This window comes from Homo sapiens, chromosome 4 (assembly GCF_000001405.40).
Source record: "Homo sapiens chromosome 4, GRCh38.p14 Primary Assembly".
Taxonomy (NCBI): domain Eukaryota; kingdom Metazoa; phylum Chordata; class Mammalia; order Primates; family Hominidae; genus Homo; species Homo sapiens.
Window position 1 is genome coordinate 37098378 of NC_000004.12, and position 12784 is coordinate 37111161.

The 12784-nt window shown below is 37.5% G+C and overlaps 1 long non-coding RNA gene across 12 annotated transcripts in view; it reads left to right on the forward strand.

Moving 5' to 3' along the window:
• Nucleotides 1-12784, forward strand: part of LOC101928721 (uncharacterized) — a 60301-nt gene that overhangs the window by 24829 nt on the left and 22688 nt on the right. For 5 of the 12 annotated variants that reach the window (NR_188346.1, NR_188354.1, NR_188356.1 and 2 more), the window contains 2 exons: nucleotides 10903-10979; nucleotides 12365-12661. This is a non-coding gene — a long non-coding RNA (uncharacterized LOC101928721). Of the gene's footprint in view, nucleotides 1-656; nucleotides 1370-1730; nucleotides 1866-2337; nucleotides 2528-10902; nucleotides 10980-12364; nucleotides 12662-12784 lie in introns of those variants that run through there. The other 7 variants (NR_188355.1, NR_188352.1, NR_188347.1 and 4 more) reach the window with 4 other exon arrangements.

Below are 12784 nucleotides of genomic sequence, written 5' to 3' on the forward strand. Positions count from 1 at the left end.
TATATGCCCCTAGTCATGCCATTTTCATCAACCAATCAATAAGTAACCTTGTTTTATGTATGTTTCTATTTAAAGACACCGTATTTAATATATATTGCTGATTAATATTGAACTTTAGGCTAATATCACTTTAACTCATGCCTGGATGGAGCTTATCTTATATAAGCTCTCTAAAGAACATCAAGGTTCCTTCCCCTTAAAAACACTAGATAGTACTTCAGCACTGCCTTTGGAGCCAGTTAAAGCAGCAAAATAACCAACAAAAAAAGGAGAAACAATGCAAAAAAAATGGCACTAAATAGACCACAAAAAGGACACATTTACAGTATGAGAGCTGAAATAAGAAGGTGGTACATCACCTTACCTGACCTTAGCTGGGAACTACACATTGGGAAGCTCAAATTTTTATCAGTCTTTGCATGTCATAGTCTGCAAATTACCATCAAAGTGACATGAATATTGATTTGGGGGTTAGAGATACATTTTAGTAAGAAGGCAAATTTTCCAATATGGAATCTGAATAATGAGGATCGACCATATTTAAGAAGCATGAATGTTAGCTTGCTAGTGGGTACAAATCAGGCAGATGATTTTTCATCAATGAAAGAGTGCATGGTTGAAAAGTTTTCTTTATTCTTATTTGTGTTTGGCTTTAGGAATTCTGCAGGTTCTTGCAGGACTCCACATATTGTCTATCACAGCATATTGCAGACAGGTTCCCAGGAAGCAGATTCTGAGTTGGTGATTTGCATGCAGGAAGTTTATGGAGAATTGTTTCTGAAATCAGCTCCTGTGGGGAAATGAAGACAGCAGGACTGGGCAAAAGGAAACATTGAACTGGGATGAGATCACAAAGAAGGCATCAGGGAGGGCTGGAGCCAGACTGGGACTTCAGAGTGGCCCCACATTGAAGAAGAGAAGCTTGGTTTTTAAACTCACACTCTCTCCCCAACCAGGACAAGTTATGCAGGTGGTCCCCCAGAAGAAACTGTGACTTTGGAGTTGGTGGCGTTTTTCAGCAAATGGCAATTCCCAAAAAGGGATCCAGCTGCATGCAGTTGCTGTCAATGCTCTCAGCAGCTGAGGGAATGAGTGCCTGCGTCATGGAGAGGAATGCAGGTGGTACGCCCCGACACTCACTACACTGTCAAGCACAAGAGGGCATTTCTAGCAACTCAGTTGGAAACGCTCTCAATGATGTTTAACAAAAGGATAGAATTACTTATGGTGGCAGAATAATGGCCCCTGAAGATATCTATGCTGTGATTCCCAAAGCCTGTGACTATGTTACATTACATGGCAAAAGGCCTTTGCAGATGTGATTAAGGTTAAGGACCTTGAGATGGGTTGATTATCCTGGATTATAGAGGTAAGTCCAATGTAATCACATAAATCCTTGAAAGTGGAGGACCTATCCAGGCTTCAAAGAACCAGAGAGATTTCAATGTGGGAAGGGCTCACCTAGCTGTTGCTGACTATGAAGGTGGAGGAAGGGGGGCCATGAGGCAAGGAATACAGGCAGCCTCTAGAAACTGGAAAAGGCTAAGAACTGGATTCTCCCCTAGAGCCTTCAGAAAGGAATGCAGCCTTCAACTTAACCCTAGTGAGACCCATCCTGGACTTCTGTCCATAGAATTAAAAGATAACAAATGCATATTATTTCAGCCATTAAGTTTATGGTAATTTGTTGCAGCAGTCACAGTAAACTAATACACTGCCTGTCCAAATAGTGAACTTGGCTCCATGCATTGATGGAGAAGAAAGACACCCGAGGGCTCCATTCTGCAGGATGAGTCTGCAGGGATCTCCTTGCCAGCTATGGAAGTCAGTATGACAGCTTCAGCTACCTACAGTCCACTTGCCAGGTGATTATTATTATTATTATTATTAATTTGCACTATCGCATCCCAGTGTGTGCCTCCAGAGCCATCTATTTTCTTTATTTTTTCACTGCCTAAACTGCTTATAACTGAGAGTCACAATTGCAGAGCTATTATCAATTAATTTGCTAGCAGCAAAAGTCGGTGTGACTCACAATCAGGCAGCCCTGCCCAACCTAACAGCTGTGGCTTCAGAAAGGCAGGAGTGCCAAAACACCTTTCTTCTTGCCCTTCATACTATTGGTCTTCCCTGAAAGGAAACACTTCCCAAAGCTCACTGATAAAATACTAAAGTACAATTTTGTTACTCGCCTAAGAGCACTCCTACCTACTCTGTGCTGTGCAGGAGAAAAAATGGTGAACAAGAAAGACACAATCCTTACCTCTAAAGAACTTCAGATTGGTGATGATTATAGACAAGATTTAGTTTTGATAGAGTGTCTGTGTTTTTTGATAGGAAAAAAGCAGAGTTCTCTATGACCATGTTGGAGAAGCACCGAACCCAACTTTAGATGGTCAGGGAAGAATTCTCCTAAGAAACAACACTGAAACTGAGACTTAAGAATGCATAGAAATTGTCTAGACAAAAAGAGTAATGGCAAAGACTGTTCCAAGCAAATGGAATGTGGACAACTGCAGAGGCAACAGTAATAATCACTAATATTTATAATATTTATTAAGTATTTACAATATGTTAGGCCCTGTGCTAAGTGCTGTACACACACAGTCTTGTTTCATCCTCACAACAACCTGATGAGGTACGCACTGCTATTGATTCCATTTTCCAGATAGGAAAGCTGAGCAACAGTGAGTTTGTACTTCTTGCCCAACATGACACAGCTTGTAAGTAGTTGAGTATAGAAATGAACCCAAGCATTCTGGCTCTAGAATCCTCTTGCTTAACTGTTCTTCTGCACTACCTCTTACTGAGTCTCAAGCAAGTGATCCAATGGCTCATCCAAGGAACTGAAGTAAATTCCAGGTGCTTGGAGCTGAGACAAGTGGGGGCAGGGAATTAGATTCAGCAATAGCAAGAGATGATGCAAAAGTGAGTATTTATAACATATTATAATCATATCTATCCAGTACTCAAGATTACATCAATCTTTAATGAGGACTTGGAATCTGCGGGATACAGTGGGAAGGGCAGAGGCTTTGGTGTCAGACAGACGTTAGTTCTGATCTTCCCACTAATGCGTAGAAGCTGAGGAATTTAACTTAAGCAAGTTCTTTAAACTCCCCCTATACTCCCATCTGTGCCTTGGAGATTATAATAGCTACATCAAAGAGTTGTTGTGAGGACTACATGGTAAAAAGTACCAAAGTGTCTGGCATATAATGAGTAGGCACTCAAATGTTCAGTTTCTCCCCTTCCTTTCCCTTATTGAAAGCAGCAGAGCAGACTGTCTAAATATCTCTGCACACTTCAACCAACACAGAAAAAGAACTTGAACAAAACTGAACATTGATTCCCCCAATTTAAAAAAAAATGCATTTGATTTGGGGCTCAGACCTCAGATATTGTTGAACCAAAAATTAAACACCAAAACCAGTGTGGTTTTGAGGAAGGCCACATGGGTTAGGAATCAGGACATGCAAATGCTAGTGTCAGCTCCACCGCAAGTAACTATGATGCTTTCTTCTCTGAGCATCAGCTTCCTCATCCAAGACAAGAGCTGGTTGAACTTGGTGGCCTCCAGGGACCACTGAGATCTAACTTTGAGCTCACTCAATGCCTTGAACATCTGATTAGAAACAGAACTGGAAGATCAAATTGATCTCCGAATTAAGACAAGATTCTGAGGTTAAACAAACAACAAAACAAAAGAGATCTAATAACCTTCTTGGGAGTTGCAGAGAATCTATGTAGGAAGATAAGAGGTGGAGTCTTTGAAGGAGATAGACATTACAGTCTCATTTCCTCTTTGTTCTTTGCTAGATCTGTCACCCAAAGTAAATCATTCTCTGTTTAAACTTGTTTCCTTACCTATCAAATGAAAATGATAACCTTCTTTTATAGACTTGTATTCAAATTAAAGAATATGTATGGCCGGCCAGGCGTGGTGGCTCATGCCTGTAATCCCAGAACTCTGGGAGGCTGAGGTGGATGAATCATGAGGTCAGGAGTATGAGACCAGCCTGGCCAACATGGGAAAACCACGTCTCTACTAAAAATACAAAAATTAGCCGGGCGTGGTGGCGAGCACCTGTAATCCCAACTACTCCGGAGGCTGAGACAGGATAATTGCTTAAACCTGGGGGGCAGAGGGTGCAGTGAGCAGAGATTGCACCACTGTACTCCAGCCTGTGCGACACAGCGTGGCTCTGTCTCTGGGACAAAAAAAAAAGAAAGAATATTTACAATTTTCAGTGTACTCTTTATCCTCCAAGAGAAAAAATAAAATCATTAATCACAGGCCTCCAAGAAAGGTTAAACTCTCCTCCTTTTTGCTCCCATCACTTAGGGTCCACCCTGTGCATCATCAGGACATTCACCTTGCTGCCTCCTATGTAAACATTTCCTCTATTTTGAGCTCCCTCAGGGCAGATACTTTCATATTCACATTTATATCTAAATAGGGCCTAGAATTGCTCCCTGTGAATAGTAGTTTTTAATGAATGTTGGTTGTTGAAACTAATAAAAAAGAAAATAAAAACAATGAGATTGCATTTTTATCTAGTAAATTAGTCAAGATTTCCAAAAACATACACATTTAATCCAGGCAAGTGCACATGAGCTGATGGAAGTTTTCTTGAAATCCATTTAGTAAATATGTTTCAAGACTTTAAAAAGTGTCTATACGATGGGGTTTTCTAGGTAAACAATCATGTCGTCTGCAAATAGGGACAATTTGACTTCCTCTTTTCCTAATTGAATACCCTTTATTTCCTTCTCCTGCCTGATTGCCCTGGCCAGAACTTCCAACACTATGTTGAATAGGAGCGGTGAGAGAGGGCATCCCTGTCTTGTGCCACTTTTCAAAGGGAATGCTTCCAGTTTTTGCCCATTCAGTATGATATTGGCTGTGGGTTTGTCATAGATAGCTCTTATTATTTTGAAATACATCCCATCAATACCTAATTTATTAAGAGTTTTTAGCATGAAGGGTTGTTGAATTTTGTCAAAGGCTTTTTCTGCATCTATTGGGATAATCATGTGGTTTTTGTCTTTGGCTCTGTTTATATGCTGGATTACATTTATTGATTTGCGTATATTGAACCAGCCTTGCATCCCAGGGATGAAGCCCACTTGATCACGGTGGATAAGCTTTTTGATGTGCTGCTGGATTCGGTTTGCCAGTATTTTATTGAGGATTTTTGCATCAATGTTCATCAAGGATATTGGTCTAAAATTCTCTTTTTTGGTTGTGTCTCTGCCAGGCTTTGGTATCAGAATGATGCTGGCCTCATAAAATGAGTTAGGGAGGATTCCCTCTTTTTCTATTGATTGGAATAGTTTCAGAAGGAATGGTACCAGTTCCTCCTTGTACCTCTGGTAGAATTCGGCTGTGAATCCATCTGGTCCTGGACTCTTTTTGGTTGGTAAACTATTGATTATTGCCACAATTTCAGATCCTGTTATTGGTCTATTCAGAGATTCAACTTCTTCCTGGTTTAGTCTTGGGAGAGTGTATGTGTCGAGGAATGTATCCATTTCTTCTAGATTTTCTAGTTTATTTGTGTAGAGGTGTTTGTAGTATTCTCTGATGGTAGTTTGTATTTCTGTGGGATCGGTGGTGATATCCCCTTTATCATTTTTTATTGTGTCCATTTGATTCTTCTCTCTTTTTTTCTTTATTAGTCTTGCTAGCGGTCTATCAATTTTGTTGATCCTTTCAAAAAACCAGCTCCTGGATTCATTGATTTTTTGAAGGGTTTTTTGTGTCTCTATTTCCTTCAGTTCTGCTCTGATTTTAGTTATTTCTTGCCTTCTGCTAGCTTTTGAATGTGTTTGCTCTTGCTTTTCTAGTTCTTTTAATTGTGATGTTAGGGTGTCAATTTTGAATCTTTCCTGCTTTCTCTTGTGGGCATTTAGTGCTATAAATTTCCCTCTACACACTTCTTTGAATGCGTCCCAGAGATTCTGGTATGTTGTGTCTTTGTTCTCGTCAGTTTCAAAGAACATCTTTATTTCTGCCTTCTTAATAAATGGTGCTGGGAAAACTGGCTAGCCATATGTAGAAAGCTGAAACCGGATCCCTTCCTTACACCTTATACAAAAATCAATTCAAGATGGATTAAAGATTTAAACGTTAGACCTAAAACCATAAAAACCCTAGAAGAAAACCTAGGCATTACCATTCAGGACATAGGCGTGGGCAAGGACTTCATGTCCAAAACACCAAAAGCAATGGCAACAAAAGCCAAAATTGACAAATGGGATCTAATTAAACTAAAGAGCTTCTGCACAGCAAAAGAAACTACCGTCAGAGTGAACAGGCAACCTACAACATGGGAGAAAATTTTCGCAACCTACTCATCTGACAAAGGGCTAATATCCAGAATCTACAATGAACTCAAACAAATTTACAAGAAAAAAACAAACAACCCCATCAAAAAGTGGGCGAAGGACATGAACAGACACTTCTCAAAAGAAGACATTTATGCAGCCAAAAAACACATGAAAAAATGCTCATCATCACTGGCCATCAGAGAAATGCAAATCAAAACCACTATGAGATATCATCTCACACCAGTTAGAATGGCAATCATTAAAAAGTCAGGAAACAACAGGTGCTGGAGAGGATGTGGAGAAATAGGAACACTTTTACACTGTTGGTGGGACTGTAAACTAGTTCAACCATTGTGGAAGTCAGTGTGGCGATTCCTCAGGGATCTAGAACTAGAAATACCATTTGACCCAGCCATCCCATTACTGGGTATATATACCCAAATGACTATAAATCATGCTGCTATAAAGACACATGCACATGTATGTTTATTGCGGCATTATTCACAATAGCAAAGACTTGGAACCAACCCAAATGTCCAACAATCATAGACTGGATTAAGAAAATGTGGCACATATACACCATGGAATACTATGCAGCCATAAAAAATGATGAGTTCATGTCCTTTGTAGGGACATGGATGAAATTGGAAACCATCATTCTCAGTAAACTATTGCAAGAACAAAAAACCAAACACCGCATATTCTCACTCATAGGTGGGAATTGAACAATGAGATCACATGGACACAGGAAGGGGAATATCACACTCTGGGGACTGTGGTGTGGTGGGGGGAGGGGGGAGGGATAGCATTGGGAGATATACCTAATGCTAGATGACGAGTTAGTGGGTGCAGCGCACCAGCACGGCACATGTATACATATGTAACTAACCTGCATGCACAATGTGCACATGTACCCTAAAACTTAAAGTGTAATAAAAAAAAAGTGCTTATAAAATATGAAAAAAAAAAAGTGTCTATACACTCCCATCCAGTAACTCCACTCGTAGGACTTCATCCAATGGAGATAATAGGTTATTTGCCATGTAATAATAGCAATGCATGGGGAAAAAATTACTGTAAGTAAAAACACCAAAATATTAATAGTGGCCGTTTCTCAGTAGAGGGATTAAAGGTGATTTTCATTCTCTATTTAATTCCTTTCTGTATTTTCCAAAATTTATTTAGTGATCACGTAAAATTTTTCCAGCAGGATTATATAGAACTTATTCATTACATGGAAGATTTAAAAAGTTTAAATGTAATAATTTAAACTTATACTAATTCTGAATATGTTTAAATAATTCTGAATATATTTAAAGCATGTTAAAGTTTCTCAAATGCCTAAACTTTTAAAATTTATCCCAATACCCAATATAGTCCCTTGCATGTTGGAGGCTCTCTGTAAATTCATATATACAGTTGGCCCTTCATATCAATGGGTTCCACATCTGTGGATTCAATCAAACATAAGTCAAAAATATTTGAAAAAAAGTGAATCTTTGTGTCTGTACTGAGCACGTACAGATTTCTTTTTTCATGTCATTATTCACTCTTCAATACAGTATGACAATTTCCATAGCATTTACATTATATTAGATATTATAAATAATCTAGAGATGATTTCAAGTATACAGGAGGATGTACATACATTATATGCAAATAGTGCACCACCTTACATAAGGGACTTGCATCCGTGGATTCTGTCACCCTTGGGGATTCCTGGAACCAATCCCCTACAGATACTGAGGAATGACTATACAATTTTACATGAGTGTATCTACTTGGGTCTTTAATTTCTCTTTCTTTATTCTGTACATTTAGAAGTGTCACTTATATTTTTCTTCCAGTCATTTGATTTCCAGAGACATGCAAGAGTCAGCAGATTTATTTTTCTCCAAAACAGGTTAATGCTCCACTTAACTGCTGTCCAGATAGTTTTTATTAAAAAGTAGCACAGTTCTCCCTGTGAGATTTCAACATCACATGCTAGGAAGAACTGAGAAGTTAACTAGGTTATAAGGATTTGTTAGATTGTCTAATCATTGCTGTGCGGTTACTCAGGTAAACACAAATGAAGTTCTTAAGTAAAAAATCATGATTGTGACTCTTTTTTGTTAATGGAATTCTTTTAGGTTAAAAAAATGCTGTAATTCTTTTTTTCTGTAGAAAAGCCACTGTTAACTTGGTCAAATTTATTTTCACTGCATGAAAATTTTATCTTTCAAGAGAATTAGCCATCATTGCATCTTTTAAATAGCATTAGCCATTATTGCATCTTTTTAAAGTTTTTAAACTTTTTCCCTGTCTCTTCAAGGCTTCCTGCTTAGGTTTGTAACATCAAATACCAAACTTCTTGTATTTTCATGAGATTTCCACTATATTCTTCCTCTCCTCTGGCCTCAACATGATAAAGTCTTCCCTCCTACATTAAAAATATGTCCTTCCATATTATTCCTTTAAGCTCTGAATCTGTTTCTCTCATTCCCTGAAGTATTAATGTTTTGAAAAGATAGTTCACACTCAGCTGAACAAATTTAAGTTCTTTAACCTTCTCTTACTCCAATTTCTTATTTCCACTCTTGCTGAAATATTTTCTTGAAAGTCACCAATCAACTCTTATAACCACAGCAATGGCTCATTTCTTTAATGTCCTCAACTTCTCTACATTTAATGTTACTTGTTCTTCTATCTTACTGAAACTCACCTCTGCTCACTTAGACTCAAAGGGTAAGAATGTCAATGATCAAGGAACTGGGATTTCACCTTTGACTCAAAATTCTCTACCAAGCAATAGTTTGAAAGTGGCTATAATTTTGTAAAACATTTCCACAAGTTAAACATAGGTATGTTTTTACTGTAACGTGAAGAATAAAACATGTGTCTATGGAATTCTGTCTTCATACATTGTTATCAACCTCAACTCATTCTACTCCTTCTGTGGTAACTATTTTTAATAACTTGGTATTTTTCAGCCCTTTTTCTATGTAGCCATGTTAATATACTGGTATGTATACAAAAATAGAATTTTTACAAACATAAATATATACCTACAGTTTTAGGTAACAAATGAGATCATGTATGTATTTTTTCTTAAACCTGTTTATTGCTTTAAAACTAAAAAGAAGAGATACTAAGTAAGGGTAAGAAGGAAAATAGCATGAAGAGTGGGGAGACACGAAGATGGGCAGATGGCTTGCGTTTATGCTTAAAATACCTTATGAATACATAGGCATATTTCATGTCCATGCCACACAAAGCTTCTTAAATTTAGCAGTGGAAGATTAAGTGTAGGATTTTGGATTTTGATTTCTTTTTTATAGTGTTTTTGTTGCTAATATTAAAAATGAAACCACAGACAGCTTGGTTTGAGGGGCATTGACTAAATTGTCTTTCCATTTTTATTAGGCAATTGACAAAAAGGACTTATTTCTTTGTGACTTTATTATAATGGTTGGCTTTGATTTGCAAAAAGTGTGAAGTCGAAGATAGCTTTAGACAAGGAATAGAAAGAAGGTATCTTAATTTTAGTATCCTTTTCACATTCTGTCTGTGCTGTCCAAGGTGATTAGATTTTACAGCCCACTCATGCTGTAAATATCTTTACATGTGGTAAGTCTTACCCTAGCACTTTAGTAACATGCCTCAAACAAAGTATTAAAAGCTTTGAACAAGATGGCATCTAAGTATGATGAGGTTTACTAGCTTTTTAAAAACATGAAACACCTTTTGAAGTGATTTTCAGAAGAAGAAAGATTTGTACTACACAGGAGAGGATTTCAGTGCTGAGTTTAAAAAGAAACTCAGGTTGGAAAGACTTTAGAGGATTTTTCTATGAACTAAGAGATTAGAGATTGATATCTTGTCAAGCACTTTGTAGAAAAAAGGAAAGGTTATAGAAAGGCAGATAATAGACTGGGCAAGGGGATTAAAAGATGAGGCTAAGCAACATTTCTTTTATTATACACATAGTCATTAACAAAGAACTAGAGTTCTTGTGAATTATGTTACATTGAAAAAAATTAACAGTTGATTAAGATAAGATCATTACCTATTACCTGTAGAGATCAGAAAAAAGATTTAAATAAAACATGTTACAAAAAATCCAAAATTTAAAAATATTTTGGCATTTAGAGACTATTAAAAAAGAGATAAAGGATACTTTAATACATGTTTAATGAAGGGTTGAGGAAATTGGTATCTTTTCCTAAGGACTTTAAGACTTATGATGGCCTAACCCTCAGATGTGTGCAGCGAAAATATTACTTCAGCAGGACAGCATTGACTGATATTTTTCTCTCCTTCATTCTCATAAATGTGGCTAGAGAGACCTTAGTAATTGATACCCTCAACATCGACAGTTCTCATTTTACTTATTAATGTTGATCATCATACATACCAGGAGCATTAAAAATGCAATAAACAATTGATTTGAGCTTTTTAAATAATTTCGACTTTTATTTTACATAAAGAGGATACATATGCAGGTTGTTACATGGGGGTATTGCATGATGCTGTGTTGTCTGCAAGGTTTTACAAAACAAATACTTGGTGGCTGTTTATTTCTTCCAGCATAAGTCCCCACCTGCTGACCTGCTGCCTGCTATCTTAACACGAATTCTTCATCTGAATGGATGAGCTTTTCACAGGTACGGTTACATAAATAAGGAATGTGATACACATTTTTTTATTTAAAATGAAAGATAATATAATTTAAACCAAGAAGCTTTACATTTACTAATCATGTACTGCTGCTATTCAAATGCCTAAATACAGAGAGGTATCTTTTAAAACTCTAGACTCTACCCTTTTATTGTCTCACCCACTCCCATCCAAGATTCTTTATTCCATCCATGCAGGGCTTCATGCATGTGAGTGTACACATCCATTCTCCTCCAGGTGATTTTGACATGAATGCAGCCCATCAACACAACCAAATGAAATCTACTGCTTCAATGCTTCAGTAAAGAGTAATCAAAAGAAAAGAGAAATCAAAATATCTGTTTACGATCTTAACTTAGTTCAAACCATTTTTTCACCCTTCTAAAGCAAGAGTCCTTCTTTCCAGAGACAATATCTTTTTTGTACTTTGTAGGGGCTGAATCCTGTCTTTTATTTAATCTTCTTTCCTTGGGCACACGAGTGGTTGGACATATGATCCAGCCCTATCAAATCTGCTTATCCTACCCCTCTGACCACAAACTCAAAATAAGCCAGTGAGAGTGAGTACTCCCAAGGATTTTCTGCCAGAGTTCTGAGGAAAGAGAAAGTCTCCTTTTTCCACTGAGGATGTTAAGCTGATAAGATACATCTGGAGCTGAGCAGTTCTATATCTGCCATATTTAGCCAGTTTGTTTGAGATCTACAGCTCCTAGGTTCAAACATTTCAGAATTTTCTGTTATGCTTATGCTGGTTTGAGTTGGGTTTCTATCATGGGCAAATGAAAAGGGGCAACAAATACATCACACTATATTGGGTAATTACTTAAACTCTGGCTCATTGTCCTCACCTGTAGAATTTGGATAATGGCATCTACCATGCCTACGCACCAGAAAGGCAGTGATGGTCAGACCTAACAATTTAGGTGCAAATGATATATTCATCCAGTAATAGGTTATTCAAATGATAAACTTTATATATATGCCAACAGGATAAATATTTAATTCAGACAATAATATTAACCCAAACGGATTATTCAGTATTATGTAAAAATATCTTGTGTTATATTCTCAATCCTTAGTTATTTTGTTGTCATATAAATATTGCTCATGAGCAGACAAAGCTAAAACTTCGACCTATTCATATGCCAATAATTAATAGCAATGAATTATTCTTTGTTGGCTTACTTAATAGTTCAATGATTTAATAGTTATAATAGTTAATAGCTCTTTCCTCCTATATTGAAATTAAGTTTTAGACTTCCAGTCTCCTAGCACAACATGTATCAATGCCTGTCAAGCTTGCCAAACACTTGGAGATCATGTTGCATGGCAGACACAACTGAAACCAATAACTTCACTTATTTGTGTTCAGAGTTCCAAACTAAGGAATCCAGGAGTGGCCAATCCAGAGATTCATTCCTTATCTTTGACGAACATCTGAACTCCTGGCTCATCCTGTGGAATTCAGGCCATACAGGAGATCAAGGTCATTTGCTTTGGGTTAAATGAATGTTGCCAGGTGGAGGTTGCTAGAGGGAGAGTGCTATGTGAAAGTGCTGTATAAACTGCTTGCTTTTCACAAACAGTAGTGATTCTTTATCCTGTCCAGCCTGCCACAACTGGACCATCCTGTATGTAAGTCCCCTTAATAAATCCTGTGTCTCATTCACTGGCTTCAAGTCTCTTCCTGGGCCTCTTGAACGTGGTGCCACCTGTATTGAAGTCAACAGAAGTTCAGCACAACACAGGTCAAAATGAAGATTCTGACTCAGTAGGTCAGGATGTTCTAACG